This window comes from Homo sapiens, chromosome 20 (genome assembly GCF_000001405.40).
Source record: "Homo sapiens chromosome 20, GRCh38.p14 Primary Assembly".
NCBI classification, from domain to species: Eukaryota; Metazoa; Chordata; class Mammalia; order Primates; family Hominidae; genus Homo; species Homo sapiens.
The window spans coordinates 59,015,117-59,043,103 of NC_000020.11; the positions used below are offsets into that span (position 1 = coordinate 59,015,117).

A 27,987-nucleotide genomic window follows, 5' to 3' on the forward strand; every position below is an offset into this window, starting at 1 on the left:
TCAGGACGGGGGCCGTCACCTTCAGCCTGGCAAAACAGACCTTGGGGTCGTGCCGGCATCTCCAGGGGCAGTGTTCGCCTATGTCCTGCACAGGGCCCGCTTCTACCAGTCCGAGGGCAAGGCAGACTGTATTCCCCACCTCACTGCTGGCACTAAGGTGGCAATCAGAGGAGAGCTGTTTCCTCTGGGGAGCAGGTACCTTCAGAAACAAGGACAAGAGAGCTGAGACGGGACGCACGGCTTTCCAGACCTGCTGCCTTTCCTGCCACTCTGTTCTGCCCAGACATTTTAAATTGAGACAGGCCCCGATGTCCACGGCCATGTCAAGTCTGCCACACAGTAGGTGCTCCGTCTGTAGGTGTGGAATGCATCTCCCCCTCCCACCCTGCGAAGCCCACTTGAAAAATACCACCGGCAGCCACACGTTAGGGGTCAGCCCTGGCAGGCCCAGTCCTCACACCGACTTGTGACGTGGGGACTTTTATTTCATTTTTCACGTGAAAAAGTTCAGGTCTAGGGCGGAGATGGGCCCCTGGGTGGCGGAGCTGCCACTCCGTCCCTCACCCTCTCACAGCCCAGCGTCCAAAGCTCAGCACTCGCCTGGCCTGAATTAACATGGCCGGCGATACAAGAATCAAAGCAAACAGGGCTTCTCTCTTTTTCCTCCTTTTTGCCAACTGCCCCATTAACAGAAAAACCTTTTAAGCGCCCACCTGGAAACCTGGCTTTTTCCCCTCCCTAAGCAAACTAAGATGGCCAAGAGGAATGTGCTGCAGTGCGGAGGGTGGGCGGAGGACCCCAGCAGCCTGGATCCTGCTCACATGGCAAACAGTGAACCCAGGCAGACCAGAAATGCCCCTTGGGCCCAGCCCCGTGGTCCCTGCAGCAAGGCGGTTTGTGGCCAACAGGGGCTCCTTTCAGGAGCTGGGCCACAGAAGGCCACGGCTGCCCACCGGTCACACCTTCCCGTAATAGCTCACTGCGGTTATTCCATCTATAGTCTGTCCCCAACATCCAGGTTTCTTGGAACAGTTTATATCTCCAGCCTAGACCACCTCTTATGGAATGGAGGAAAAAGGTGACCCCACCTGGAGAAGGACACACTCGTGAATAAATACATCACTGGCTTTAAGAACACAGCCCGCTCTGAGCATCACTGCTCAAACCTGCCCAGCTGTCAGTGTGCCCTTAACAAACATTTACTGAGGCCCTGCCATGGATCAGGCACTTTGGGGACTCAAAGATGAAACGACACAGGCAGCTCCCAGGCTGGCGGGAGATAAGGCATGTGTATAAGTAATTAGCAAACAGGACTGTGTGTGGGCACTGCAGGTTGAAGTGCTCTGGTCCCCAGGAGAGGAAGTGTCTCTGATGAGGGACCTGCCTGTGGGAAGATCATGGAGCTGTCTTTGATCTTCGGAGAAGTCTGGTAGGCAGGGGCCCCTGGGTGGGGAGGGAGGCTCGGGAGAGCTGGTGGGGACAGAGACAAGGGGAAAAGAGGCCAAGGCACGCCAGGAGAAAGGCTGGAAGTGAGGCAAGATGGGCTAATGTCTATGGAAACAGAATGGTCTATTCTTAATTTTAAAATGGTCTGTTTTAATTTCTGAAAAATATTGCTGGGGACCTATGAATAGGTCTGTTTTAATTTAAACAGATCATTAATAAAATGGTCTGTTTTAATTTCTGAAAAATACTGCTGAGGACCTGTGAATATCCTCCTCTTGAATTTGCACATTCTTCTCTTTACCTTTGGGCAGGGAGGAGGGGTGACTGGACCGGAAGCATCTGTGAGTCATGTGACATTCAGGTTTGAGCACAAAAAAGTTCCAAACTTAGAGAAATGTTACAAGGGTATTAATCTTGTGCTAACTTTGAAAAGAACCAGCAATTGTTACCACTTTGCCCCTTTGCTGAACTGCCCTCTCTCCGTTTATCACGTTATGTGGTTGTGGAACTGTTTCCCAGTAAGCTGCCAGCATCAAAACGACCTTGAAGCACAGTGCTTCATAATATGGGATCTCCTGGAAACAAGGACTTCCACTTAGAACCACCCTGCCATGATCAAAGTCAAGAAATGGAACACTGATACAATACTATTTTCCAGTGTACACAATCCTTATTTGAATTTTGACAATGATCCTCATACCATCCTCTATAGCAGCCCTCTTCCCTGGTCCTGGATCCAGCCCAGGATCATGGGGTGCACTGTCAGTACTCAAGGGCAGCCTGGGATCTACACACTAGACAGAGGTGAGAAGCAGTCCCAGTCCAGGCACTCTTAGGACACAGTGCTTTCTTCTTCCCCACCTCTGGGTTTCTCTTCTGGTTTATAGCTCAGGCCCTTTGGCTGTGTGTTTGAGCTCCTTTGGGAGTAAGCAGAAGCGATTTCCCCCAGACACTCCATCGTTAGGAACTTTCCTGATTGTGTTCCTGACCTCACATCCTGGGCCCCACCAGGCCTGTAGAAGGAACACAAGGTTTAGGAGTCAAGCCTGGGCTTGGGGCACAGGAAGCACAGGCCCCTCATGGACCAGGCTGGGCTCCAATGCTTCAACCAAGGTCACGGGTCTGGCGAGAGGCAGGGGAGGGAAGGACCTCCAGGGCTTCTCGCTCTGAGTTCAGTAGTCTTGCCTGTCCTGAGTCCCTGTCCTGAGAGATGGTGTCCTTGAGCTGCTCCAGAGCTAGGAGTGCTCTCTTCCTAAGTAAGCCAGAGTTCCAAGAGTGCAGGATCTGGCCACATCTACCTCCTTCATTCCCTTGTCTGCAGCGCCCAAGGTGAGCCCAGCCTATGACAGGTCCCCGTCCATAGCTGTTCAAAGAATGGGGGCAACCTCAGGGTGCCCGGCAGACGTTAAAGAGAGGCCTCAAGAGGTGGTTGCTCACCGGATGGTGGTTGTCCACATCCTCGGGGCTTCAGGAGTGAGGCCTTGCCCTGTACCTGCCCACCTGCACCTCGACAGCTCAACAGGCACAAGGCAGCGTCCACTGGCTCTCCCCTTCCGAGCCAGGGCTCTCACGCCTTCTCAGGGAGTCCCTTCCCCATCTTCCTTGGAAGCTTCCACCTTCTGTCCTCCAGGCGGTGGGGAACTGCCACCCTCCTGGGCAAGGATATGGAGCTGGTGTTTGGCCTGGATGCCCTTGCCTGGTTGGAGGTAATAAAGCCTAGGGCTGGCTTTCGACGATGATAGAAACTTGGTGGCAGGGGAGGTACTGAGGACCAGGAGACAGAACAGCTGCTTTCAAGCTGCTGAGTACCCAGCCTGCTGCCACTCCTGTACACCGCATGAGGGAATGCTTTTTTTTTTTTTTCTGACAGAGTCTTGTTTTGTCGCCCAGGCTGGAGTGCAGTGGCATGATCTCGGCTCACTACAACCTCCGCCTCTCAGGTTCAAGCGATTCTCCTGCCGCAGTCTCCCGAGTAGCTGAGACTACATGTGTGTGCCACCACACCTGACTAATATTTGTATTTTTAGTAAGAGATGGGGTTTCGCCATGTTGGCCAGGCTAGTCTTGAACTCCTGACTTCTGGTGATCTGCCCACCTTGGCCTCTCAAAGTGCTGGGATTACAGGAGTGAGCCACCACACCCGGCTCTAAGGGAATACAATTGGGAGTCCGTTTTGCTCTTGGAGAATTCAGGGTCTGGTAAAGGGACCCTATGGCAAACATTAAGACCCCAGACACCATGAGCTGAGATGGGACGACAGAGCAGGGGCTGGGAAGGGTGCTGGGGCACAGCCCAGCCCTGGCATGGATAGGGCAGGGGTCCAAGAGACCTGCAGGACACTGCAGAGTAACTTGCATACAGGGCGAGAGAGGGCATGTGGGGGAGGGCGGGCAGACAGTGCCTGATGCAGGCCATCCCGGGACCTGGGACCTGCGAGGCCCAGTTGTGGAGCCTCCTGCTGTGGCGGGGCACGGGGCTTCTGGGGACCAAAGTCTGGAAAAGGGGCCGGGAAGATGGACAGGGAAAGCCCTTGGAGGTGGTCTGGTTACCTGGGTGAGCTAGGAGCCACAGTCATCATACCACGGTCACTAGGGCCAGCATGGTCACCTAGAAGCCTGCAAACAGTGCCAGCCTCCAGGCCCTGTGCCCCGAGGTGGCCTTTAATCTTGCACTCACTCTCTAGGAAATGATGGGGCAGTATTCTGTGTTGAGGGAGGAAAAACACTCCCTTCCAAAAGCATGACAGGCAGAAAGCAGAGAAGGGCCAGGACTGGCTGAGGGCGGGGAGCTGGGCCTCTGGGGTGGACACACCCTTGGTCACATTGTGAGGGTAGCTTGGTTGGCCAGTCCCACCACTGCAGTGACCACAGTTGTGTTGGGCTCACACCAGTGAACCGAAGCTCTGGATTCTGAGAGTCTGAGGATTCCGTGAAGATCTCAGACTTGGGCTCAGAGCAAGGATGCGTGAAATTGTCCATATTCAGATTGGCCAGTGTGGCAACCAGATCGGAGCCAAGGTAAGTAATGTCTGGTTACTAATCCTAGCTTTACCACAGTCCATAGAGGCGGACAACCAAAAAAATACCCTAAGTTAGCAGGGAAGACAATAAGTCTAGCAGATTTAATGTACTTGCTAAATATCAGACAATGCCTTTGGGCTTTAATTCTTAAAAAAAAATTTCACATGGGAAAAGAAGGAAACAATCTTTAACTAAAGAGCTACAACACACATTAAGTGCTTAGAGTGTTAATTTAATTAATGTTAATTTTATCCATAGATACATATGTACAATACATGCCGACCATTATATTACATAATACGTTTATCATCTTTTTCTTTGCCCACTCTGTTGCCCAGGCTGGAGTAGAGTGGCAGAATCATGGCTCACTATAGCCTCAACCTCCTGGGCTCAAGCTATTCTCCTGCCTCAGCCTCCTGAGTAGCTGGGATTACAGGCATGCACCACTATGCCTGGCTAATTTTTAAATTTTTTTTTGAGAGACAGGGATCTCACTTTGTTGCTCAGGCTGGTCTTGAACTCATGGGCTCAAGTGATCCTTCTGCCTCAGGCTTCCAAAGTGGTGAGATGACAGGTGTAGGCCACCGTGCCTGGCACTTTTATCATCTTTTATTTTTTTGAGATGGAGTGTCACTCTTGTTGCCCACGCTGGAGTGCAATGGCGCAATCTTGGCTCACTGCAACCTCCACCTCCTGGGTTCAAGTGATTCTCCTGCCTCAGCCTCCCCAGTAGCTGGGATTACAGGCATGCGCCACCACGTCTGGCTAATTTTGTATTTTTAGTAGAGATGGGGTTTCACCATGTTGGTCAGGCTGGTCTCGAACTCCTGACCTCAGGTGATGTGCCCGCCTGGGCCTCCCGAAGTGCTGGGATTATAGGCGTGAGCCACTGTACCTGGCCCACTTTTATCTTAACAATGAACTTTTCATATCTAAAAACAGTAATTTGTCTCAAAACAGCTTTTTGAAGTTTTTTGAGAAACTTTCTGTACCCTGTCACTATGGTGTCTTTCCCCTCCCCTCTCATGTTTATTGTAACGCTTAAAAAAAATCAATTACTGTTTTATTAGTATGCAATTGAAAATTTAAGAAATTTAATTGAAAATAAAAGTTTTTTGTGTACAGTAACATAATTAATTAAAATACACTGTCTGGAATATAAATGAGTTTTTCTTTCCCTTGCCCCCCTGCTTAAAAATTTCCCCCAAGTACGTAACTTAATTGGCCAACCCCAAGAACACAGATGCCCGAACCCACAATCTCCAATCTTGATTTTAAGATGACCAATTGCACCGTGCAAAATTTATCGTGTTCTCTTTGCTGCTGTGAAATTACTTTTACTAATATGAGATGCATTAAAAGTGAGGTTTTGAAACACCTACATTCATCATCCATCAATGACACTTGGGTTGTTTCTGCCTTTTGGCTACTGTGAGTAATGCTGCCAGGAAACAACTAAGGCTTTTAAATGCAGGCGTTTTAAACCGGGGGCAAGGAACATTACTGCTTGAAAAGAAGTCACCATTCCTCCATGCCTCAGGGGTAAGACATTCATAACTCACACACAGAGAAGTGGGAGGCAGGAGCCCTGCTGCTCTGAAGCTGGAAGATAATACGGAAAGGGGCCCTCAAGAGAAAGTGTTAGGTTTAGATAGGGTTTTAGCTCTCACTCTGGAATCGTATGGTCTAGCGTTGAGAGTCCTGGCTGACTCATCATTTAGAGATATAAGAACTTTAAGACACATTTAATTTGGGGTATCTTAGAACTTGAATTTATTTATTCTTCCACTCCCTGAACAGTGCTGGCAGTTTACCATGAACTGCCTTGTTATTAAGACCATGGCCAGAGCAGCACTGTCATTTAGAAGATATGGCTGGGGTTTTTAACATACCCTTGGGGATTTTAATATATGTGAATACATTTTCATTGCATTTTAATATGTGCCTTTCAGGGTGATCAAAAGGAGTCTTCCCAGTAACTGTTTCCATATTAAGAGCTTGGCACATATCTATATTAATAAGTACTGTGTATGTGACTGGAAGTGCAGTATGTTTCAAATAGTTACCAGAGGACAACTATGTGTAATTGTGAGTTGTATGTATACCTGACAATCAAAAATGCACATTACTGGCCGGGCACAGTGGCTCACGCCTGTGATCCTAGCACTTTGGGAGGCCGAGGCAGGTGCATCACCTGAGGTCAGGAGTTTGAGACCAGCCTGGCTAACATGGCAAAACCCTGTCTCTACTAAAAATGCAAAAATTAGCTGGGCATGGTGGTGGACGCCTGTAATCCCAGCTACTTGAGAGGCTGAGGCAGGAGAATTGCTTGAACCCAGGAGGTGGAAGTTGCAGTGAGCCAAGATTGTGCTACGGCACTCCAGCCTAGGTGACAAGAGTGAAACTCTGTCTCAAAATAAATAAATAAACAAACAAACAAACAAACATAAAAAAATAAAAAAAAGAAAGAAAGGCCGGGTGCTGTGGCTCATGCCTGTAATTCCAGTACTTTGGAAGGCCAAGGAGGGTGGATCACAAGGTCAAGAGATAGAGACCATCCTGGCCAACATGGTGAAACCCCGTGTCTACTAAAAATATAAAAATTAGTTGGGCGTGGTGGTGCGTGCCTGTAGTCCCAGCTACTCAGGAGGCTGAGGCAGGAGAATCGCTTGAACCCAGGAGGCGGAGGTTGCAGTGAGCCGAGATCACGCCACTGCACAGATAAGACTCCATCAAAAAAAAAAAAAAAAAAGGCGCTAATTACTTAAAATCATGCACAGAGGTCCAAGTTATGGGCTGTTTGGAAAAGTTCATGAAAAGAAATCCCCAAAGTGAAATGAGTTATTACTGTGAAATCAGATAAGAATTCAGTTTATTTTCCTTTAATGGAATCTACACTTTACTAGCTTGGAGCATTATAAGGAGAAATTAGAGCTATATTGACATTAAATTCTAAAACAACAGCTTTAATGTATATAATGGCATGAATTTAATAGGAGGAAAATCCAATTTAGTACTTTGTGTTTGACATTTTATTTAAGGAGTTCAGGTGGGGAGAAAATGCAATCTTCATATTACTTCACATTGCTTAGTAGAGGCAAAAAGCGAATGATGCCATGGTTATTTATGAAAAGGCCCTAAAAGAATGTCTTGGGGAGGGTCAGGCAACCAGAGGGAAACAGGCTTGGGAATGCTAACTTTCTCTGTGGTTAACACAGCCTTTTTCGGGGTCCGTTTACTCTGACCTTCCTCCTGCTTTCAGTTCTGGGAGATGATTGGTGAGGAACACGGGATCGACTTGGCTGGGAGCGACCGCGGGGCCTCGGCCTTGCAGCTGGAGAGAATCAGCGTGTACTACAACGAAGCCTACGGTAGGACTGGCGGGGCTCTGGGAGCAGTGGTCCCGCAACTGGGAACACAAGCAGAGGAAGGGCAGAGGCCCAGGAGATGGAAATGTCAAAGCAGTGATGTCTATGCTCAGGGAGGCGACAGGCAGGGCAGCAGGATCCTAGAGTGGTGGGTCCCCAAGCCCTGGTCAAGACGCAGGAATGGGGAAGGAGCTGCTGGATATGGCACACACCTTAACACAAGCAGGTTAAGTACTCACTTTCCTTTGTGGTTTCACAAATGAAACCAGGATCATTTCCAATATGAAGGAAGAGAATCTCTGTCACTGGCAATATCACAGAGCAGACTGATGGAGATTGTTTCTGGGTATTCTATAGATTTGTGGGATTGTTGTTGGGGTAAAAAATATGATGTTAGATACTCAAATCTCGACCTACCAAGGGCCCCTTTCTAGAATATCCATGATTTTTTTTGGACCAGTATCACAAAGTTCTATTTTGATAAAACATTAACTTTTAGAAAAACAAGTAGGCTGACTTTTTCCTATTTTTCTACACAGGTAGGAAATATGTGCCCCGAGCAGTCTTGGTGGACCTAGAACCTGGGACGATGGACAGCATTCGATCTAGCAAATTAGGAGCTCTCTTTCAACCCGACAGTTTTGTCCATGGTATGTTTTTCCAGAAGGTTCCACCAGGAGGAGGGGGGGATGCTTTACTGGTGCCCTTCTCTTTTCACCTTTCTTCCCCTGCTGGTTTCTCTTTTTGGCCACAGGTAACTCTGGGGCTGGCAACAACTGGGCCAAAGGCCACTACACGGAGGGAGCCGAGCTGATCGAGAATGTCCTAGAGGTGGTGAGGCACGAGAGTGAGAGCTGTGACTGCCTGCAGGGCTTCCAGATCGTCCACTCCCTGGGCGGGGGCACAGGCTCCGGGATGGGCACTCTGCTCATGAACAAGATTAGAGAGGAGTACCCGGACCGGATCATGAATTCCTTCAGCGTCATGCCTTCTCCCAAGGTGTCGGACACTGTGGTGGAGCCCTACAACGCGGTTCTGTCTATCCACCAGCTGATTGAGAATGCAGATGCCTGTTTCTGCATTGACAATGAGGCCCTCTATGACATCTGCTTCCGTACCCTGAAGCTGACGACACCCACCTATGGGGATCTCAACCACCTAGTGTCCTTGACCATGAGCGGCATAACCACCTCCCTCCGGTTCCCGGGTCAGCTCAACGCAGACCTGCGCAAGCTGGCGGTGAACATGGTCCCCTTCCCCCGCCTGCACTTCTTTATGCCCGGCTTTGCCCCACTCACGGCCCAGGGCAGCCAGCAGTACCGAGCCCTCTCCGTGGCCGAGCTCACCCAGCAGATGTTCGATGCCCGCAATACCATGGCTGCCTGTGACCTCCGCCGTGGCCGCTACCTCACAGTGGCCTGCATTTTCCGGGGCAAGATGTCCACCAAGGAAGTGGACCAGCAACTGCTCTCCGTGCAGACCAGGAACAGCAGCTGCTTTGTGGAGTGGATTCCCAACAACGTCAAGGTGGCTGTCTGCGACATCCCGCCCCGGGGGCTGAGCATGGCCGCCACCTTCATTGGCAACAACACGGCCATCCAAGAGATCTTTAATAGGGTCTCTGAGCATTTCTCAGCCATGTTCAAAAGGAAAGCTTTTGTGCACTGGTACACCAGCGAAGGGATGGACATAAACGAATTTGGGGAAGCTGAAAATAACATCCATGATTTGGTATCCGAGTACCAACAATTTCAAGATGCCAAAGCAGTTCTAGAGGAAGATGAAGAGGTCACGGAGGAGGCAGAAATGGAGCCAGAAGATAAGGGACATTAACTGTGAGAGAAGCTGTGCCGCGGAGTCGCTTACAGAACAGTTTCTCATTAGATGAGTGTTTCTCCTGCAGCACTCCAAAACCCACTCTGCACTGCAGCACAGTGAATGATATGCACTCACCATTAGCTTCGACACAGGGACTGAGGGAGACAGGTGGGGAGCAGCTGACAGGCATTAGGGTCTTTGCTGACATCTACTAACCTTGAAGAGTTTGATGTTCAGTGCATACTTATTAACTTAAAAAAATAGCAAATTTATTGTAAAGTGCTCCCTTTGTTTCAAAGTGTTTGCCAGGCATCCAGACTACACGTGTGGATTTGCAGGGAGCCACTGGAGTTGGTGTTACATTTTTATACTTTAGCAGCACTGATAGGCACCCTGGAATCCTCACTTGGTATCCGAGGGCTACTAAGACTCTTTCCTTAGGTTCTTTCCTCTGAGCAAACACTGACTGGCATCCTGCTTTCCAGTGCCTGCCAGCCTCCAGAAGAGCCAGGTGCCTGACTAGTACATGGGGAGCTACAGAGCCAAGGTCAATGTGAGTCAACATCCACTAGAAATATCCATGTTGTGTAGACCTGTGCATACAACATGCTAACTGGAAAAGAGGAAAAAAGAAAAGCCACAGTCCTCTCCACAAAAATACCTGGTCCAAACAAGAAAAACAAAAAGACAAGCAAAACTAAAGAACTGCAGTCTTCTGATCTTTATTTCTGAAGAGCTAGCCTTTAACATATATGTTTATATAGTTTAAATTTCTTACTACTGTTAGATCCCAGGAATTCATTAATAATCATCCTTGGCTTTCCTTTTAAAGGCTATTTTGAAATGGTCTTTTCACTTTCATTCAGTCATCACCCCCCAAAATGCTCTGCAGCCTCTCTGCTCTTTGAGAAAGGGCACACCATGCGCTCGGCAACCATTCAAATGCAGGAATTAAGCAGCAATGGCTGCAGTGTCCTTCTCAGTTATGGAGGACATCGTCTCATTAGGGAACTTTTACAGTTCAAATTAATTTGCAGAAGTTGCCATAAATGTTTGCATAATGACATAGCTTTAAGCACTACATGATTTTAATCTGCTCACATTATAACAGGACCAAATACACAAGAGCGTAATCAAATCATCTGTAACTTCTTAATTACAGTTTACCTATTTCTGACATGCAGCACTGCCATCTCTTCCAGCACCATCAGGGTTTTAATGGCCCTCTAGAATTACCACTGAGATACACTATTTGATCCATGGATAACCGGTAATGGGAAAATGCTCCGACCCTCAATGCAGTAAATATTTACTTGCAGGCAACTGGGTTCTCATCTCTTGATTTGCTTTTGTAATCAGCAATAATAAAATAGCAGGTAGATGGATGACAGTTGCTCATTCTGAGAAACTTCACTCTTTTCACTTATGCATCACGAGGAAATAACTAAAATACATACCAAGAGAAAAATACCTTGCCATCGGATCATCAACAAGTCTTCTATTTACAAACTTCAAAAAACACAAAACAACATTCATGTTTTAAATGCTTTCTACTTGTGGTTCAAGAAGCACTAGATTTAGTAAGAAACTCTACCTATATACTTAGTTTGAAGTTAGTAACTTCCTGAGATGCTAAAGACTTACAGCCTGCGATTATACAAGGATTTACACATGCTTCCTCTGGTGCTTTACTTCCCAAACCTAAAAAAGCAATGAAATAGATGTAAGGAAGGAGGGATTTAAACCTTTTAAAAAACTTTTGCTGACTTATATTACTGTAAAGATTTGTTTGCTCAATAGTAATCATTAAACTACAAAGTAATTCAATTTTAAATGGCAAAATTGCTTTATTTCAGACTAAATAAATTCCTTTTCTTGAAGCCTAACCATCCAGACTGAGTAGTTAAAAATATTTAGAAATGCATCTCACCATCCTACTCTTTCGTATGGTAGAAATAGATGTAAAAACACAAAACAAACTAGAAACTTAAGAAATCTGTCCCTTTTGATTTTGAAGAGCTTATCCTTTAGCAGTACGGTTGCTCCAGCGACCTTGGTCTCTCAGAGCAGCAGCATCACCGAAATTTAGAGCTTATCCGATTCCTTCACTTTGCTCACAAGAACGATGTGAACTAAGAGATTAACTGACAGCTTCAAACATCATCCAACTAATTAGTGGGATACTCATTAAGTTGGTCTGACTGGGGTCACCTCATCACTGGGCACAGTCATCCTGCCAGCTACCCAGCACTGCTGGAGGCAGGAAGTTTATTATACTACTGGTTTAGGATTTTTTTTTAATCACGGAGAAAAGAGCCTCTAAGAATCTCTGCTGACAGTAAACTTGTCTTTTACTCAGTGACTTCACTCCTTTCCATATCACAAGCCCTGTCCCTAAGTCTCACCTCTAATTACCCCATCTGCCTCCTTAATAATATACCATCTCTATACCAATAATCTACCAATATACTACCAATCTACTATGCCATCTATATACCAGTAATACCCCATCTGCCTCAACATACCATATACCAATAATCTGCCAATATACTACCAATCTACCATACCATCTATATACCAGTAATACCCCATCTGCCTCCTTAACATACCATCTATATACCAATAATCTACCAATATACTAGCAATCTACTATGCCATCTATATACCAATAATACCCCATCTGCCTCCTTAATAAATGACTTATCTCTAATTACTTGACTGGAAATCATTTAGCCCCTTTGCCTATTAGTTACTTTATTCGTCCCATGTCAAAAAGGCCCGATAGCTTTTTGATTCATTTATTCCTGTTCCCTGTAATGGAGGATACTTCCTAGTACCTTAATCTTGGGGGCCACAGCACTGAACTGAGGTGCCCTAACTTGCCAACAGCAGGATGACAGCTCCGAGGCGGAGGACTCCAAGGGCTCCTAACCTGCTGTTTTCCAGAGGCACCCTCTTCCACTCAATTGGCTCTGCCTCCCTGCTCGCTCTGTGCTGAGAATTCAGTAAAACCTACAGGTCAAGTGTCGGGACAATAAGTCATTCCCAGAAGCCGAGAACAAAGATGTTCTTTTCGGCTTATCCTCGGCATTGCTGACAGTGGCCCTGATAAATCATTGTGAGCTTAAGTACCATGTGAGAACTGATCCTAGAATGGTGTTTCAAAATTTCCAGTTCAAATTTATTTCTCCAGTCTCCAAAAACAGTTAAAATCAGGCAGTTAACTTTGCAATGGTGTTTTACTTGCCCAAGCCCTTTCAAGTTTCAAAGAAAGATAAAAACATAACTTGCAACAATTTTTCATCCCTAAATAATGAATGAATGAATCACTATGGAAATACCACGAAACTGCTGTTGTGGTCACCGTGTCCCAGACTTGCAGTCAAAACTCCTAGGTTTTAATTTCAGTTTGGCCATCAACTCAATGAGCAAGTTATTCAATAGCTTTGCCTCATTTCCTATGAGAAATGCTACCAGAGTATAAAGATTCATTTACAAAACAATGTGAAAAACACTTTGTGCTTAAATTCTGTAACCGTTCTTATCTATAGGCTTTAAGTGCACAATACAAAACAAGTACAATTTAGTATTTCTTCTTCTAATCTACACTTTTAGTATTTAATAATTATTTCCATTTGTTACTGATAACCATGTCATTATTCTGACATGACAACAATTCAAAAATAAGGGACTACGAAGCCTCAATGACAGCAGATAATTTTGATCACCAATTAATGTCATGAAACAACTATTTTGAGACATTTTCAAAATGCTTTCTGTATCCCTTTGGTCACTAAATATTAAATCTGGCTTCCCCTGCTTTTAAGAAACCCTGGTTCACATGGCCATAATCATGCAGCTGTGCAGACAGTTCCTTTAAAGAAAATGAAAAAGTCTCACAAACTAAAATCAAGAGTAACAGTGAACCATATTTCAATTTATTGACATTGTCAATTTATGAACAAGACAGGATTTTTTTTTTTCCCATGGAATGAGATCCTTTTCAATCTGCCATAACATGTGCCCACACATCTTCACCTTGGAAATGTAGCATTTCAAGCTTTAGTCAGGGTCTAGGAGGAAAAAGAAAATGCAAGTTGCTGGCTAGTTCTCTGTGTTTTCTTAAAAACTCAACATGAATATAAGAAATAACTTCCTTATAGTGAACTGTATAACTGTGGCTATCATTCACATTGCCGTGGCTCAGATGTAAAAAGTGCTGGTTCAAGTACACAGGCTTAGTCAAGCAGGCATTTTCCTGCTGAGTAAAAGTAAACACTCTCCCAGAATAAAGAAACTACTTTGCCTTTAAAAGACACTAACATCTCCTTGTGCTAATGAGGTGGGGTCTGTAACCCTGAAGGGCATAACAGAGAGGGGCTAATGCTTTGTTTAAGGGGATCGGACACTACTTCCTGACCCCCAGGACTTTGCAAAATCTCAGCATTAGATGCAGTCTGGCAGCTCTGAGCCGAGTGAGGCTAAATGATTTTCTGTTAGCTTACTGTTAAAACAAAACAACCCAACATAAAACCAGGTCTCATTACTCAGAATTATGAGATTAGACAGAGAGCCCCTAGAAAAAGGGCTAAATTCAAAACACTGCATCTCCAGACTTGTAATAAAATATTTACTAATTCAAAATGAAAATGAAAAGTGCTTAGGGGAGACAGTTCCAATAAGTAAAATTGCTCATAACCATAAGCTGCCAAAGGATTAATATTTATCACATTTCTGTGCTATTATGGGTCTGAAGCTTTTTAAAAGCAAAACAAGAAAAATTAAATCTGAAAAACATCTCTCTGATAATTTGCCTTGCCTACTTTTGAAATAACAATGTCAAGAAAGTACTTTAGAGATCAAACCACTTTTATAATGTGGAACACAAAAGTCTACACTTATCAACTGTACAGACCTTTTTATTTCACGAGAATTTAACTTTACATCACCAACATCTTTGGAAAAGTAAAATGAACCAAACCCTCTGAAAGCATAATAAATTAGCAAAACAGTATTCGCTGCGGGGTCTTGCAGATTTTATTGCTTGATACAACAGCAGGACCCTTGCCTGTGCCTGTAGTTATTATGTTCGGGAAGTAGTGATTTGTGAGAACATTAGTGGTTGTGGGGGAAATAAAAATGTAAAGAACTGTAGTTTTTCATGCTCTTGGACTGTTATGTAACTCCAATTGCAATTATACAAGTGGGGAGTTCATCCTCCAAATTATTTGATTTGTGCAGACAAATGAAACAGGTTTAATTCAAATACGATGGCTCTCTACCTAAGCATTGCTAAATGAACTGAAAATCAATGTGCCAATTACTTCTGCTTGTCAGGGCCCAAGAAGACTTTCTTTTTATTAGGCCAGGGGACTTCTATAACCTGCATGCTTTAAATTATACCATCCCAATAACTAACTTCCAAATACACTGACTAAAAAATGAATAGAACCCAAAACTAAAATTATTTTGATCTTTATGGTGCTCCAAAAACTTAAGATGCAACTGTTCTTCTAAATAAATCCATAACTTACAGATTATTCCTTCTTTACTTTCACAATTTTTACGTTGCTGCCAGAAGTCTTCTCAGCATTTGCTTTGAATTCTGTCTTCAGTGCATCTCTCACTGCTTTTGCACAGATCTGGGAGTATCGGATGTAGCTGGGAGAAAATGAGAGAAGGTATATGGTTAATTATCAATATTCCAGCCAGACAGCTGTTACTGTGTTTTCGCTTTTCTTCCTGTACTTTTTATTTTGGTTTGGTTGTACCTTATTGTAGAATTGGATTTAAAAATATGACTAATGCCAAAAAGTATCTATACAAAGAAAAAGAACTAGAAAAAAATGTACCAAAGTATTAACTGGTGTTTGGATGGATGATCTTTGATTTTTCTTCTTTGTACTGTGTTTTCTCTTTAGTGTATATTAATTCAAAATGAAAGATGCATAAATGTTTTTAAAAATCCCACAGCATAGAAAAAAAGAGACTGAAATGTTTAGAGACTATAACATGAATCATGAATTCTCTCCTCGATTTCTCTCCTTAAAACTTTAATTATATTATTCTTGGAAAATGAGGTATACATAAGAGAAAACTATTTTGAATTAAAACAATTCGTTCTAAATTATTTAAACTCTTCTCTGAGAATACTGAATTCTGTCTCACAAGTCTGCCACTGAAAATAACCTCCTAATGAAGATTTCTAAATCAAACTGAAAAGTGCTTAGAGAACATCATCAATTCTAGCAAAACTGTAAAACCTGCTTCCTGTTTGGTAGATGGACTCCCATCAACACTGTAGTTTCCAAAAGATGTCAGATCACCTTTCCCACTTTTGAAAAACAGGAAGCGGGGAGGGGTGCTATTTTCTCATGTTTTAGAATTTATTTTGGGGACTCAGAGGTATGAGTTCCAATGCCTGCTTCCATTCTTACTAACTGGGTGACCTTCAGGCTGTTCAACCTTTTCAGCACGTTTACTCACTCACCTGAAAAAAACAACAGAATAAAAGGACAATAATACCTGTCCTGCTGATAGCTGGGAGGAGGAAAAACAAGTGTGAAAAAGTATGGATCACAGGGTAGGTTGCCTAATAAACGGTATCTACTACTGGGACTATCATCCTTCCATCCTTCCAATTCTACAAGACTTCGCTGGCTTGACCTCAGCAAGTCGGGAAGCTCCGCTGTAGTGTACCCACAAAATGTAAAGTGCTACACCATCCAGTCAACTAACAAGGTGTGTCACCTAGAGCAAGGTACTTCTGCTCACTCAGGTGCACGGGTAAAAAAAAATCGGATGTGACAGCTAGACCAATGGTTTGCGGTTCCACTATGAGACACCATGTCCTCAAGTGGGTTCCATATTTGAGCTTTCCAGGAGCCACCTCTCATCTTTGTGAGGGGCTCTCGACAGTTATGGCTTTCACCCCTTTTAGACATAAGGAAACCTGAAATCAACAGGACTTAAAAGTTTAAAAAAAAAATGTGTAAAGTTGTAAAAGGCTCCACCTCGATGCTGGATTAAAGGTCAAAGCTGCTAACGGCGGTCACGTGGAGAGAAATCTCCTGTTTCCCGAGGTGGATGTGACTGTACTACTTTCACCACCTGGCTCCAGCACCATTCTAGAAGAAAAAGGTTTGCTAAATAAGAGCTGGCCTCTCTCTCGAGAAACCTGCCATTCACAAAGGTGTCCAGGGGCACTCTGTGGGTGCTGGGCCGCACCGTCGGGAAGCGAGGCAGGACACAGACGCGCTCCCACGCGAGGTCGAGGCCGCGCCCGCCTGAGCGCTTTGCCCACAGCGACGCCATCTTGGCGGCGACGCCCGAGGCTTGGCCCAACCCCGGTCACGCGTGGGGCCGCTGCTCTGTGTCCTGCATGACCTCTGGGCACCGGGATGCGCGCGGGCCGGCTCGCGAAGCCCTTCCCTCTGGAGGCCTGGGCCTACCTGAGTCCAGCCTGTCTCCAGTAGGCCACCATGCTGTAGCGAAAGCGGAGCTCGTCGGGCCGAATCGCCAAGACGCCGGCAATGTCGGCTCAGCCGGGCGGTTCAGCCGCAGGAAGATCAGACCACAGAAGCGGAAGAGGCGGGGCGTGCGGACCTGCCAATCACCGCCTCCTACCCGGCCCCGCCCCTGAGCACGGCCCCTGCTGCCCTGCCGCGGAAGCCCCCCGGCGCCGGGAGCCAATGGGCGCGCGCGGTCTGGACTGCGGGTGCCAATCCCGGGGCGGGCCGGCCGGCCGCGCCCACCTATTGGCTCCAAGAGCTCCCGGGGCGTGTGTCCCCCGACCTTCCGTATTACCCCGGCGGGGACGACGGGGGCAAGAAGGCCGGGGTGTCCCCGCTCGCTAAGGACCACTGAGCCGCGTGCTTTCGGGAAGCGAGGACGCGAGGCGGCGCGGGCACGGCCGCCCCGAGGGCCTGGCTTTGCGCCCGCTTCAGGGAAACGGCGCCGGCTTTTTTAAATCTGTGGACAGACAAGCGTGTCCTGAGAGCTGAGATTTAGAAAGGCTCTTAGGGCACCCCCTTTCTCGGAGTGACACTAAACCCTGGAAACCCAGTGGAGGACCCCCTAGCGTTTTCTGTAGTTCTAGGACCTGCTTCCGATGTGCGACAAGACGGAGGGTAAGGCAACAGTTGTCACTGTTGCCCGGAATGGATGGGAAGAAAAATGTGAGGAAAACCCACTGGAGGCACAGGGAACTGCCAGGCGGCCGGGAAAATGCTCATCTCAGAGCCTGTGATTTAGAGAAACTAACCCAACGCAGTGAAGGCTCACAGTCTAGGAATTAAAGTGTTTCTCTCATAAAGAAAAAAAAGCCTTTGCCCTTCACCTTTAATTACTAAAAAGAAATTATAATCAGGAAAAACATCACTTAAAAGAAAGTTTTTATTAACAAAAGTTTTCCTTAATTCACATTTCAACTTTATTAAATAGTCCAAGGGTTTCATTTATGAACACTTATTCCAGTTTAGTTCTCTTAAATTCATTTGCTTGTTGTGCATTTATGTTTAAAAAGGTAACTAACTGCACTGGAAAATGAAAATTTATAGTTTTATCAATAGGTCAGTTTTTAAAAAATCAAAGGATAAGGATTTAAAAATATTAGGGCATTACACCTTTTTCAGAACAAGGATAATTTACAGAAATTATACAAAGCAGATTTTCATCAAATATCAATTATTTAGCGATGTTTTATTTAGCTGAAATGTTATTTCACTTGTAAAAACTATCTCCGGTTACAAAAAAAAATCAGAAACCTTATTAAATTTAACCTGCTTTTACAAATGTCCTAAGAAGTCTTAAGCTAAACAAAATTTAAGTAGGAAAACGATAATTTAAAAATAGTGTGTTATACTATTTCTGTGGTTTATGTACATATATTAACTGGTCTCTTGGATAGGAAACATGACTAGAAGTTTATCACACTAAGCACTGTAAAATAAAGGCAAGAGCTAATCATCTTCTAGCAAAAATAGTCTCTATGCAACAATTGCAAATGTCAAAGCTATTATTTAGTAGTTAATTGCCTGCTACAATACATAAAACAAAGTACATTTACTGGATTGTTTTTCAGTTTGCAGCTGCCCTCTTGACATCCCAAATAAGGAATTCCCGTTAAGTAAAACCTGCAGTGCAATTCACTCAGTGGTTAGTTTCAGGCCAAGCCTCCCCCTACCATTATGCTTGTTCTTCCCCACCGCCCCCAAATCCTGCAGTGGCACCATATTATTAAAAACACTAAGTACCTGGGATTTATGCCTCAGAGCAAGACATCATTTGAGTAATTTCAAATGATACACAGCTCCTTCATGTAAAAAAGATGTTTTGTGGTCACAATTACTTCAAAAAGTAATTATATTCAAATAACCTGACATATCATGCCTTAGCAATTACAAAACCATGATTTTGACACATGGCAATTTTTAAGTTAGGCAAATGTAAAATGCTAAAAGATGTGAACAGCTGTTCTTCTGTTTAAGTTAGAGCACTGCAAAACTCAGGTAATGACTTTATTTTTTTCAGTTAACATAACCAGCCCACGATACAGCATACTAAATCACAAAGTACAAATCCAAGGAAGTTAATACCTTTACTAAGTTACAAAACTTGGGCAAATCAATACAGTACTCTTTTATAATGAAACCATACTTTTGTTGGAGTCATGTTACTTTAGTGATAATTTTCACTCCAAAAATATTTAAGTACCAAATCAAAACACTGGTTTTTAATGGTGGTTTATAGCATAGTAAGGTATTTTACACAAAATATATTTTAAAACTACACAATTTCTCCTTTTAAGTGAGCTCCCTTGTGCAAGCTGCTGAAGTGTACAGCAGCAGGGCAATGGGCGTCTATAGGAGGTGGCTCTGCTCTGTTCTGGGGTTGGTCCAAAGTCAGGTGGAGTTCCAATGTATGAAAAGCTTGAAAAATCTACCTTAAGGAGACTGAATATCAATACCAGTTTCCAAGGAGTTCTTGTTGAATTTTCACAGAAATACTGGAACCCTCAAAATCAGATAGTAATTTCAAACAACATTAATTTCAGATGATCCCTTTTATTTAGAGGCCCTGCATCTGTTTTGATCAAGTCACATAGCCTTACACCAACTTATCAAAAAAAAAAAAAAAAAAACTACCCAAAATATAGTTGTATTTTTAAAATAACAAATAAATATATAGTCAGTTTGGAGAGACCTGGAGTACCCGATGTTGTCTACCAACTGTCACGATCACTTCTCTGCAAACGCTGCTGCTGCCATTGGAGTCCTTATGGTTCCTCTTGCTGAGGCTGTCAGTTCTTCAATCTCAGCATTTAATTTATGTATTACCCATTCCATTGCTTCTCGGCCCTTAAAAAAAATCCAATACATTTATTGTTACTGAGGGAGAGCAAAGGCATATATCGAACTAATGACACACCAGGAAGTAACAAGGGGCGTGACAAGTTTAACTCAATCTCAGGATGACAGATCGTTTTTGTCCTGGCTTTTTCTAATGTTATTTAGCAAACATCAAATGCCTTGAGCAACTGGCTTGATCCATAAACTGACTTTTACTTTGTATGCAAAAGATGTTCTCAAATGAATCTACAATTAAATGACAGAATGTCTTATTTGTTTCATGATTATAGTGGTCCCCTTTTTAGGGGCAAGAAGGTCAAATCCCTTTTCTTTACATTTTAAACCAAAATCCTGTGCAAGGTCCTGCAGGATCTGGTCCTCAACTCACTCCTCACCCCTTCTCTCCTAGTGTTCTATATAGTTCCTTGAAAAACAGAGCATTCCCTACTTCCTGTCTCAGGGCCTTTGCACACGCAGCTCCTCCACCTAGAACACTCTTCTTGGAATACCCCTCGCAATCCACCTGCCCCCATTTGGCAGTCAGCAGAAACATCAGTTACTGAACACTCAATAAGCACTCTCATACCTTTCTGTACCTTTTCTTTCCTAATTACATGCTGTATGATTAATGTCACCTGCCTCTTAGTTCCACGGGGGCAGGGACCACATTTGTTTTGCTCCCTGCTGTATACCCTGTCTAGCCTAGCACTCTGCATGGCACAGAGAAGGCATCCATGAGTATCTCTTGATAACCACATTCACCATGTGTTATGTAACAGTGCATGGCATCTTTCTCTAAACTTACTGTTTCAGATCATGCATTCTCAATAAGCAAAAATTGGTTCTTGGGGGGATGGAAAAAATCTCCCTCTTTTATGTATAAAGCCCACACATATGTATATGATATATGACTTAATGGAGGTGGCAATTAGGGAAAAAATGTCTAAAACGAGTTGTGGGGGAGACAACAGTGAAAAAAGGTTGAGAAACAGTGCCTTAAATGACACGCAGCTACACATCATCGAGCACTTCCTCAGTGCTGGGCCTCAGGCTACACACTTTCCATATGTTATCTCATTCACTCCACGCCAACCCTGTAAAACGGGTAATCTCCACTTTAAAAACGGGAAACTGAGGCATAGAAAGGTTAACTTAGTTGCCCAAGGTTAAAAGGCTAAAAGTTAGAGCTTGGATGTGAACCCAGAGCCTTTGTAAGTAACTGCCCAACGTGCTGCAGTTTCCTATGGTAGAATGGGCAAGGGTCAGCTTACAAGGACACACATGCAGTCAGCACCCCATTCCATTCCCAGGAAATGAACCAGGGAATAATAACCAAGAAGCAGCCTCACTTACTTTACTAGCATTTGAGGATATCGTACTTGCCATCAGTCCTTCAAGGTAACTGCTGAGGCTAACTCCTTTCACGGTAATTATGGCTTCTTGTGTCAAAACAGTTCTGGAACAAAACATATTCACACAGGTTCAGATGACCCAGCTTTCATTTTCAAAAAACTTGATAAAAAAACCTTAAACACCCTTTACGATACATTTGTTAAAATATTTTTTACTCACTTTTCTGGATCCTGAGGATGTGGTTTGTATATAAGTCTCTCATCTACTGAAACCATGTTTGTAAATGAAATCTACAGAATGAAGAAAAAAAAAAAAGATCAAATCATTTTGGAACTGAAGATTCAAAATGTTGCTAAAATCAACACACAAGCCAAAATCTTACTAAACATACAAAACAACAAATAAACCGCTGCTATTATTGCATAAACTATTCACTGCCTACTTTTTATTTAAAAAGCAAAGTTGAGGAAATAAAGTATAATAATGATAATACACATAATCCCAAACTCATTTTATTGAGTGCTATCCCCTTAGAGATAGGCAAGATCATGAGAGCAGGAAGGGTAAGGAAGCAACATCCAGGGCCAAGTTAGGCCAGCACATAAGCAGGGATTCTCTGAACCACATCATGAACACGCACTCACTTCTACGGCAACTAGGAGAGGGACAAAGAACTCAGCCAGACAGTTCGAAATGAAACAAAAGGGAGCCAAGACTTACATTAGTAGATTTAAGTTCCATTGTTTTCTCTACAGGATCAACTACAGAATGTTCTTGCACATATGTTTTCGTTCTTGCTGCACCAATAAGCTAAGTAAAACATTCAGAACTAGGAATCAGAGGAGGAAGAATTTCTTACCAAGTCTATCAATATTTTATTTGAAGGAAAAAATGTGTTACAATATTTTGAACCAAAAATCTGTTTTCTAAAAACCAGAGGAAACAAGCAAAGGTCAGAAAGGAGGCCTATTCACATATCATGGATGAGAGGAGACTGCCAGACACAAAAACTTTTCCCGGAGGCAATTAGAAACCAGCCCACTGAGAACGTCTGCAACGTGAGGCAGCACGCTGAATCTGCCGCGGTGCGACGGTGGAGCGCTGAGGCTGAGATATGGAAATCAGGTTTGGGGCAACATGGCAGCTAGAAAAAGGAGAACTCAAAGGCATCTGTCAGTATCTTCCTAGAACAGCCCAAGGGAGGGGGCACCTCAGCTTCATTCTCCAGACAGAAAAACAGCGTTCTTACGATGGAGGCTCACACGTCAGTGTCCACTGTCACTCCCTGTGCTATGACCCCAAGCCCACCCCCTGACCCTGCTCATTTCTGTGTCTGCACTATGGTTTGCATAAGGAGGCAGTAAGTACATTCCTATTGAAAATGTGTACTTTAGTTTTCTTAGTGAACCTACTCTCCATAAAGAGACCCTCTAAAGAAACCTGGATCCACTTATTATACCAGTTTTCTCGCATTATGGTAAACTGGCATTTTAGTTTCTTCCTGGTAAAATCTGCTCACTAAAGCCTGCTCATTCTTAAGGGAATAGAATTGTTTCTAAATGTACAGGAAGGAGTTCCAGACCTTGGAACAAATGTGGCAATAACAAGTCCGAGAACATAGTCCTTACTTAATGTACACAACCCACCACTGACCACAGAACTGTCACCTAACAATTATGACCAGACCATTACTGCCAAACCTTAGTATTGGTCTCAAGTTGCTGGCAAAAGCAGAAAAAGCAGAATAGAACTCCTTTCAGATCACACGGCATTAGCTGGCTTCCTTAAGAAAATTTTATTGGGTGCCTTCATGAAGACTGTAATAATATTTCCAATTCATTATACACTCATAATTCAAGTTTATTATAATACAACTTGAACGGATGCAAAAAATGACATTCAGAATCGGCTCCCACAACCTATTTGAAAGTATAATGCGGTTTAGAAAACTTCTCTACAGCAGTCACATTTCTCCGGGAATAAAGACACACTTACAGACTTCACAATGGAAGGCAGTCCCCACTCTGTGCTGAGAAGTCTGTGGCTGTGCAACTTTCCAGAGGGATCTATATGTCTGTCCAACACATCAACTCCAACCACACTTGGGTTCATAGGGTTTGGGTATTTCTGCATTGCAGCTGTTGTAACAGTTTCCCACGGGTGGCTGCCGATGTGAACCAAAAAAAAAAAAAAAAAAATTCAGACATTTAAAATTATGCATATGAGTTAAACAATTTTTATAATCTATCAAATCATTCATTACAATGTAAGTTTAATGAGTTTACCTAGGAAAAATTACCTTCTGAAACACTGATGATTATGGGAAACTGATCTACATTTTTAACAGGCTTCAGTATTTTTCCACAATACAGGCTATGTAAAAAAACTCATATCTATAAAGATCAAAGCAGTCTACACCATCTTTCCTACTTATCCTTATCCACTTTCACATGTAAATTGTTTCTAGGAAGAACCAATGATTCATGAAAATGTATTTAAAAATTATGTTCTACTGAAACAAATAGCCAAAAGTATCATTATGCCATTTATTATTTTTTCTGACCCCAATTCTATCAGTTTATACGGAAGTAACAAAAGTAAAAGAGTTTATGGGCACTATAAATTCTTACAGGGATCACAAAAAGATCCAAAGCATTGATTTAATTATTGAACTTTCCCTTCATTTTAATGTAATACATAACAATGGCTCCTCCAGTCAATCTTTATCTACTGTTTTTCTCAAAAGAGTGATTCTGATTTCTGTTTTGAAAAGGTCACTCAATATAATAAAATGTCCTTAAGGTGCACTCCTAATATACTATTTTCTAATATTCTCTTTTAATATAATAAGCACTTGCTTATCACCTAGTATTGAAGTGGTAATAATATCACATCACTTGAGAACTTGCAGTATCTTTATTTTCTTCAAAAAGGCACATGTGCTTGGATGATTCAAAATGTGATGCAACCTTTGTTCACTTCACAACTTCTGTGAATAAGACACTTGTACAAAAAATATCATTTTCAAAAGGACCCCTTATTAAGTACAATCAGTATTAAAGGTGACTTAGTCCACCTGCAGTCTGATTCGGATGCTTTCTACACTACTTATCTGTGCTCTCATCTTCATTTAAAGGAAAAAGACAAGATCTGGGGATGATGTTCAAGCCACAATGACTGTTAAGCCACACAGCATTACTTTTTATTTTTCTAAAAGTAAAACAAGTAGACATTATTCCAACCTTTTAGAGAACTCAGATTGACAACTACATCTCGTTGACAAAAGGAAAATCTCAACTCCATTAATTTCCCAGAACCCTGGACAACCAGTGACATCATTTTTAATGTTTTCATTATAATATTCTTTTCTATACAATATTGTACCAATGAACCTCATTCTGTCTTTAGTCTCCAGCCTTATCCAGCAATCAATGCAGGTATATAAGCAGAGTTGCTTCATCAATCTGAAGTGTCCCGACAAATCGAAGCATACAGGCCAAGCACTGATTCTTACCAAGGCAACTCTCTAAAATGAAAATCAGATGAACCCTCCCCAGGTCTCCATCCAGTCATATGCCATGGTTAGCTGGCTTCCATGCCCTTACCTCTTCCCCCAACCCTCTCTAAAAAATTAATAATCGCATGACTTCAGGGTGGTTATGCATTATTTGTAATTTAGTCCATCTCTCCTTTCTGAACCAACTTGAAACCACTGATGTTGACTTAGCTTGGCTCAAGATTGCTTTATGAACCATAACCAGCTCAAACATTACAAACAATACTTATTATGATTAATCTTCCAGCAATTAATCTGAGCTGTATTAACATAATTACGTGGAAAAGATCTCACAATGGAAGACATTCAAAGACCACGCCAAAGTAGAATCAGGAGGACCTGGCTATGGCTCACTGACCGGTCCAACTTCTTCACCTTTGAAACGAGGTGAGGACATTATTAACTCCACTGGCGCAGCATCGAGGTCTTGATTTACTTATGAAAATGTAATCAATCCAAAGAACAGTGGCTGACACATACTGGGCATCTCTATAAGTTGAAGGAATCAATGAATGACTTCACCTGGATGCCAACTATAGGCCTCAGAAGAAAAGTGTTGGAAAATCAAAGACAGATAAGATGTAGAATGATGACTTAGACATTGTTAGAGAGTGACATCCTAAAGATCAGAAACAACGCTCAGATTTGTCAGGGGAGATGATGACTTCAATTTCAGACAGGCTGAGTTTTAAGGGCCTGTGGGACACGAGGGTAGCAATGCCTAACAGGCACCTGAAAATGAAAAGCGGAGCTCAAGAGAGGCTGGAGCTCAAGGTACAGATCTGGGTGCCATAAATGTATACCTATCATTTGGGACTTTGACCAAACAGCTCAGATTATGTGGGGAGAAAGCACGGATCAGGGCTGCTTCTCCCAGGACAAAAAAAAAGTCTGTGACGAAAAGAGAAACAAAAAAGAAATTAAGATCACAGGTAAAATCCAATATAGGAAGGCCAACACAGAATCTCACTGAACATTTACACTGAATGGGAAAAGACAGGGAAGCGCTGAAGACAAAGGCAGAAAGAGTGTAGAGGGAAGGAGGGGATGAGCCAGGAAGAAGAGTTAGGGAAGATATGGGAGAAGACAGTTCTAGGGAGACTGAGTGCCGAGAACCTCTGAAGCATGCAAACCCAGAAGAGGACTGAAGCATGCAAACCTGGAAGAGGACTGAAATTAAACATCCTCGGAGCTGAAATGGACTAGTGATGAATGCGACCAGGTTAATGAACATCTAAATGACCACAAATTTCGGGTCTTTTTCCTCCCAAAAAGACTAAACAGTAGGGGGAAAAGAAAGCTTCCTTCTGATTCCAGTATTCTATACTTTGCAGGATACAGCAGGCCCTAGGATGTGTCCCACTGAGTACAAATGCGGACAACGTTTTAAAAGTTGCCTTCAGAGGCCGGGCACAGTGGCCCACACCTGTAATCCCGGCACTTTGGGAGGCCAAGGCGGGCGAATCACCTGAGGTCAGGTGCGACCTGACCAGGGCGAATCACTTTGAGACCAACCTGACCAACATGGTGAAACTCCGTCTCTACTAAAAATACAAAAATTAGCCGGGCGCGGTGGTGGGCGCCTGTAATCCCAGCTACTTGGGAGGCCAAGGCAGGAGAATCGTTTGAACACGGGAGACGGAGGTTGCAGTGAGCCAAGAACACGCCACTACTCTCCAGCCTGGGCAACAGAGCGAGACTCTGCCTCAAAAAAGAAATTTAAAAAAAATTTGCCTTCAGAGACAGTTTTAAAAACATAAATGGCTTTGTAGCATATTTATTTACAAGGCTATACTAATTAAAACAGTGTGGCAACGACATTAAGATCAGCGGAACAGAGCAGGTAACTCGGGAAAAAAAAGGATTTCGCTGCTTAAATTTGTGGCTCTTTTGTAAATGGAATCAGGGACCTAGAAGAGAATATAATTCTCCACATCCAACTGGTTCAAGGCTTAGTTTCGTTAGTAAACAGTTCACATTATCCAAAAAGATGTTCCTGAACGTGGCCTCAAAGAGCTAACACGGGTAGGCCCTGACGATCGTCCTTTTCCATCTCTCAGATGAAAATGGGTAACCCAGGGTCACACGCTTGTTACAGCCAGAGCTAGACCTTGAATTCCAAATCCAAGGCTCTGCTGCGTAGATGAACGAGTTGTGAAAAGGCTTCACATCCTGGTGGTCAGAGTTCACCCGAAATTCACATTCGAAGGTAGAAACTCCACCCAAACGGCGGCCAGGGAAAGTACACTCTGGAGAAAACCAACACCTCCCTCTTGGGATCCTCGGGTCCACGTCCCAAAGTGGTTTCACAGGGCGGGATGGGGCAACCCTGAGTGCTGTCAAGGGCTTCGTGCTCCGCGACGCCCCCAGGACCTCAGGAGGCCGCCGGCCCGAGGCTACCTCATGGTGGGGGACAGCCCGGAAGTGACCCCGTAGCCCTGCCGGTCGCAAGGCCGCCTGGGTCTGGAGGTCGGAGCCGTCCCCTCGGCTAGGGCGCCTCGGGGTCGTGACCTTGGTCTGCCCTCCGTGTCGCCGGGGCCCGCAGGCTTCAGAGTTCGCTCCCCTCGCTAGGCCCGACGCCTAGAAGCCTCCTGCGGGCCGCCTCTGCCTCGCCTCTACTCCAGGGCCGGCGTGCCTGCCCTCCACGGAGCCGACCCGCGCCCCAAACTTACTCAAAGACGTGCTCCGAAGTCCAGATCTTCATGGTGCCGGCACCCTGAGAGATGTCCGGGTAGCGCCAGGGGACAACGAGGCACAGAGGCTACACCTGCCCCTGCCCCGCCCCCAGCACCCCAGCCGGCGGCGCAGTGCGCAGGCGCTGTCGGGCCCGACGCGAGGGACGTCCAGACGCGCGGCCCCACGCCCTATCCCGGCCCGGGTTTTGCCCCAGCCTTGCGCGCGGCGCAAGGAAACCCCGCCTCTTAGCGCCGGGCGCATCGCGCCGGCGCAGTGCCGCCGACGGCAGCTGGAGGGGCCGGCGCGGGCGCTGTGCTGCGCAGGCGCGGCGGGCTTGTAGCGAGCCTTGACCTCTGGGCAGAGTTGGGTCAGGTCCAGGAGGTGCCTGCGCGCCCGCTTGG

At 44.4% G+C, this 27,987-nt stretch overlaps 3 protein-coding genes and 1 long non-coding RNA gene across 7 annotated transcripts, besides 4 other annotated features; 1 reads left to right on the top strand and 3 right to left on the bottom strand.

The window, feature by feature from the left end:
* On the top strand, positions 1,322-11,538 carry TUBB1 (tubulin beta 1 class VI). 2 transcript variants are annotated; one of them, XM_017028085.2, is made up of 4 exons: positions 1,322-1,429; positions 7,729-7,837; positions 8,374-8,484; positions 8,589-11,538. In XM_017028085.2, exons 2-4 carry the CDS (start codon positions 7,738-7,740, stop codon positions 9,665-9,667), a joined length of 1,290 nt encoding a protein of 429 aa, XP_016883574.1. In that variant the 5' UTR covers positions 1,322-1,429; positions 7,729-7,737; the 3' UTR covers positions 9,668-11,538. The 2 variants fall into 2 exon arrangements, with proteins under 2 accessions (XP_016883574.1, NP_110400.1); NM_030773.4 differs by lacking the exon at positions 1,322-1,429 and adding an exon at positions 4,313-4,463.
* On the bottom strand, positions 10,359-17,219 carry ATP5F1E (ATP synthase F1 subunit epsilon). Its single transcript, NM_006886.4, has 3 exons — positions 17,104-17,219; positions 15,187-15,313; positions 10,359-13,725 (listed from the first exon to the last, which is right to left on the bottom strand). Exons 1-2 carry the CDS (start codon positions 17,133-17,135, stop codon positions 15,190-15,192), a joined length of 156 nt encoding a protein of 51 aa, NP_008817.1. The 5' UTR covers positions 17,136-17,219; the 3' UTR covers positions 10,359-13,725; positions 15,187-15,189.
* On the bottom strand, positions 13,562-27,730 carry SLMO2-ATP5E (SLMO2-ATP5E readthrough). 2 transcript variants are annotated; one of them, NR_037929.1, is made up of 8 exons: positions 27,583-27,730; positions 23,350-23,518; positions 22,075-22,164; positions 21,574-21,644; positions 21,355-21,457; positions 19,856-20,010; positions 15,187-15,313; positions 13,562-13,725 (listed from the first exon to the last, which is right to left on the bottom strand). It is a non-coding gene; the product is annotated as an SLMO2-ATP5E readthrough (long non-coding RNA). The 2 variants fall into 2 exon arrangements; NR_037930.1 differs by lacking the exons at positions 22,075-22,164; positions 23,350-23,518.
* Positions 13,698-14,228: an enhancer, noted in NCBI's record as "NANOG hESC enhancer chr20:57603869-57604399 (GRCh37/hg19 assembly coordinates)". NCBI's record gives its function as "activates a minimal SCP1, AML or CMV promoter by ChIP-STARR-seq in naive H9 embryonic stem cells {active_cell/tissue: H9 hESC(naive)}" and the evidence as "EXISTENCE:reporter gene assay evidence [ECO:0000049][PMID:30033119]".
* Positions 17,013-17,152: an enhancer, noted in NCBI's record as "active region_18187". NCBI's record gives its function as "activates an Ori minimal core promoter by ATAC-STARR-seq in GM12878 lymphoblastoid cells {active_cell/tissue: GM12878}" and the evidence as "EXISTENCE:reporter gene assay evidence [ECO:0000049][PMID:35858748]".
* Positions 17,173-17,462: a silencer, noted in NCBI's record as "silent region_13087". NCBI's record gives its function as "represses an Ori minimal core promoter by ATAC-STARR-seq in GM12878 lymphoblastoid cells {active_cell/tissue: GM12878}" and the evidence as "EXISTENCE:reporter gene assay evidence [ECO:0000049][PMID:35858748]".
* Positions 18,029-27,670, bottom strand: PRELID3B (PRELI domain containing 3B). 2 transcript variants are annotated; one of them, NM_016045.3, is made up of 6 exons: positions 27,583-27,670; positions 23,350-23,518; positions 22,075-22,164; positions 21,574-21,644; positions 21,355-21,457; positions 18,029-20,010 (listed from the first exon to the last, which is right to left on the bottom strand). In NM_016045.3, exons 1-6 carry the CDS (start codon positions 27,612-27,614, stop codon positions 19,891-19,893), a joined length of 585 nt encoding a protein of 194 aa, NP_057129.2. In that variant the 5' UTR covers positions 27,615-27,670; the 3' UTR covers positions 18,029-19,890. The 2 variants fall into 2 exon arrangements, with proteins under 2 accessions (NP_057129.2, NP_001243332.1); NM_001256403.2 differs by lacking the exon at positions 22,075-22,164.
* Positions 27,588-27,987: a silencer, noted in NCBI's record as "silent region_13088". NCBI's record gives its function as "represses an Ori minimal core promoter by ATAC-STARR-seq in GM12878 lymphoblastoid cells {active_cell/tissue: GM12878}" and the evidence as "EXISTENCE:reporter gene assay evidence [ECO:0000049][PMID:35858748]".

Bases quoted from the DNA above. Each gene is read 5' to 3' on its own strand.
- TUBB1 (NM_030773.4), top strand. From the start codon at position 4,407: ATGCGTGAAATTGTCCATATTCAGATTGGCCAGTGTGGCAACCAGATC. The intron at 7,838-8,373 runs GTAGGACTGGCG...TTTTCTACACAG, and splicing joins GTACTACAACGAAGCCTACG to GTAGGAAATATGTGCCCCGA. The intron at 8,485-8,588 runs GTATGTTTTTCC...TTTTGGCCACAG, and splicing joins ACCCGACAGTTTTGTCCATG to GTAACTCTGGGGCTGGCAAC.
- PRELID3B (NM_016045.3), bottom strand. From the start codon at position 27,614: ATGAAGATCTGGACTTCGGAGCACGTCTTTGA. The intron at 21,645-22,074 runs GTAAGTCTTGGC...TTCATTCTGTAG, and splicing joins TGGAACTTAAATCTACTAAT to ATTTCATTTACAAACATGGT. The intron at 21,458-21,573 runs GTGAGTAAAAAA...GTTTTGTTCCAG, and splicing joins CATCCTCAGGATCCAGAAAA to AACTGTTTTGACACAAGAAG.
- ATP5F1E (NM_006886.4), bottom strand. From the start codon at position 17,135: ATGGTGGCCTACTGGAGACAGGCTGGACTCAG. The intron at 15,314-17,103 runs GTAGGCCCAGGC...ATTTTCTCCCAG, and splicing joins TGGAGACAGGCTGGACTCAG to CTACATCCGATACTCCCAGA.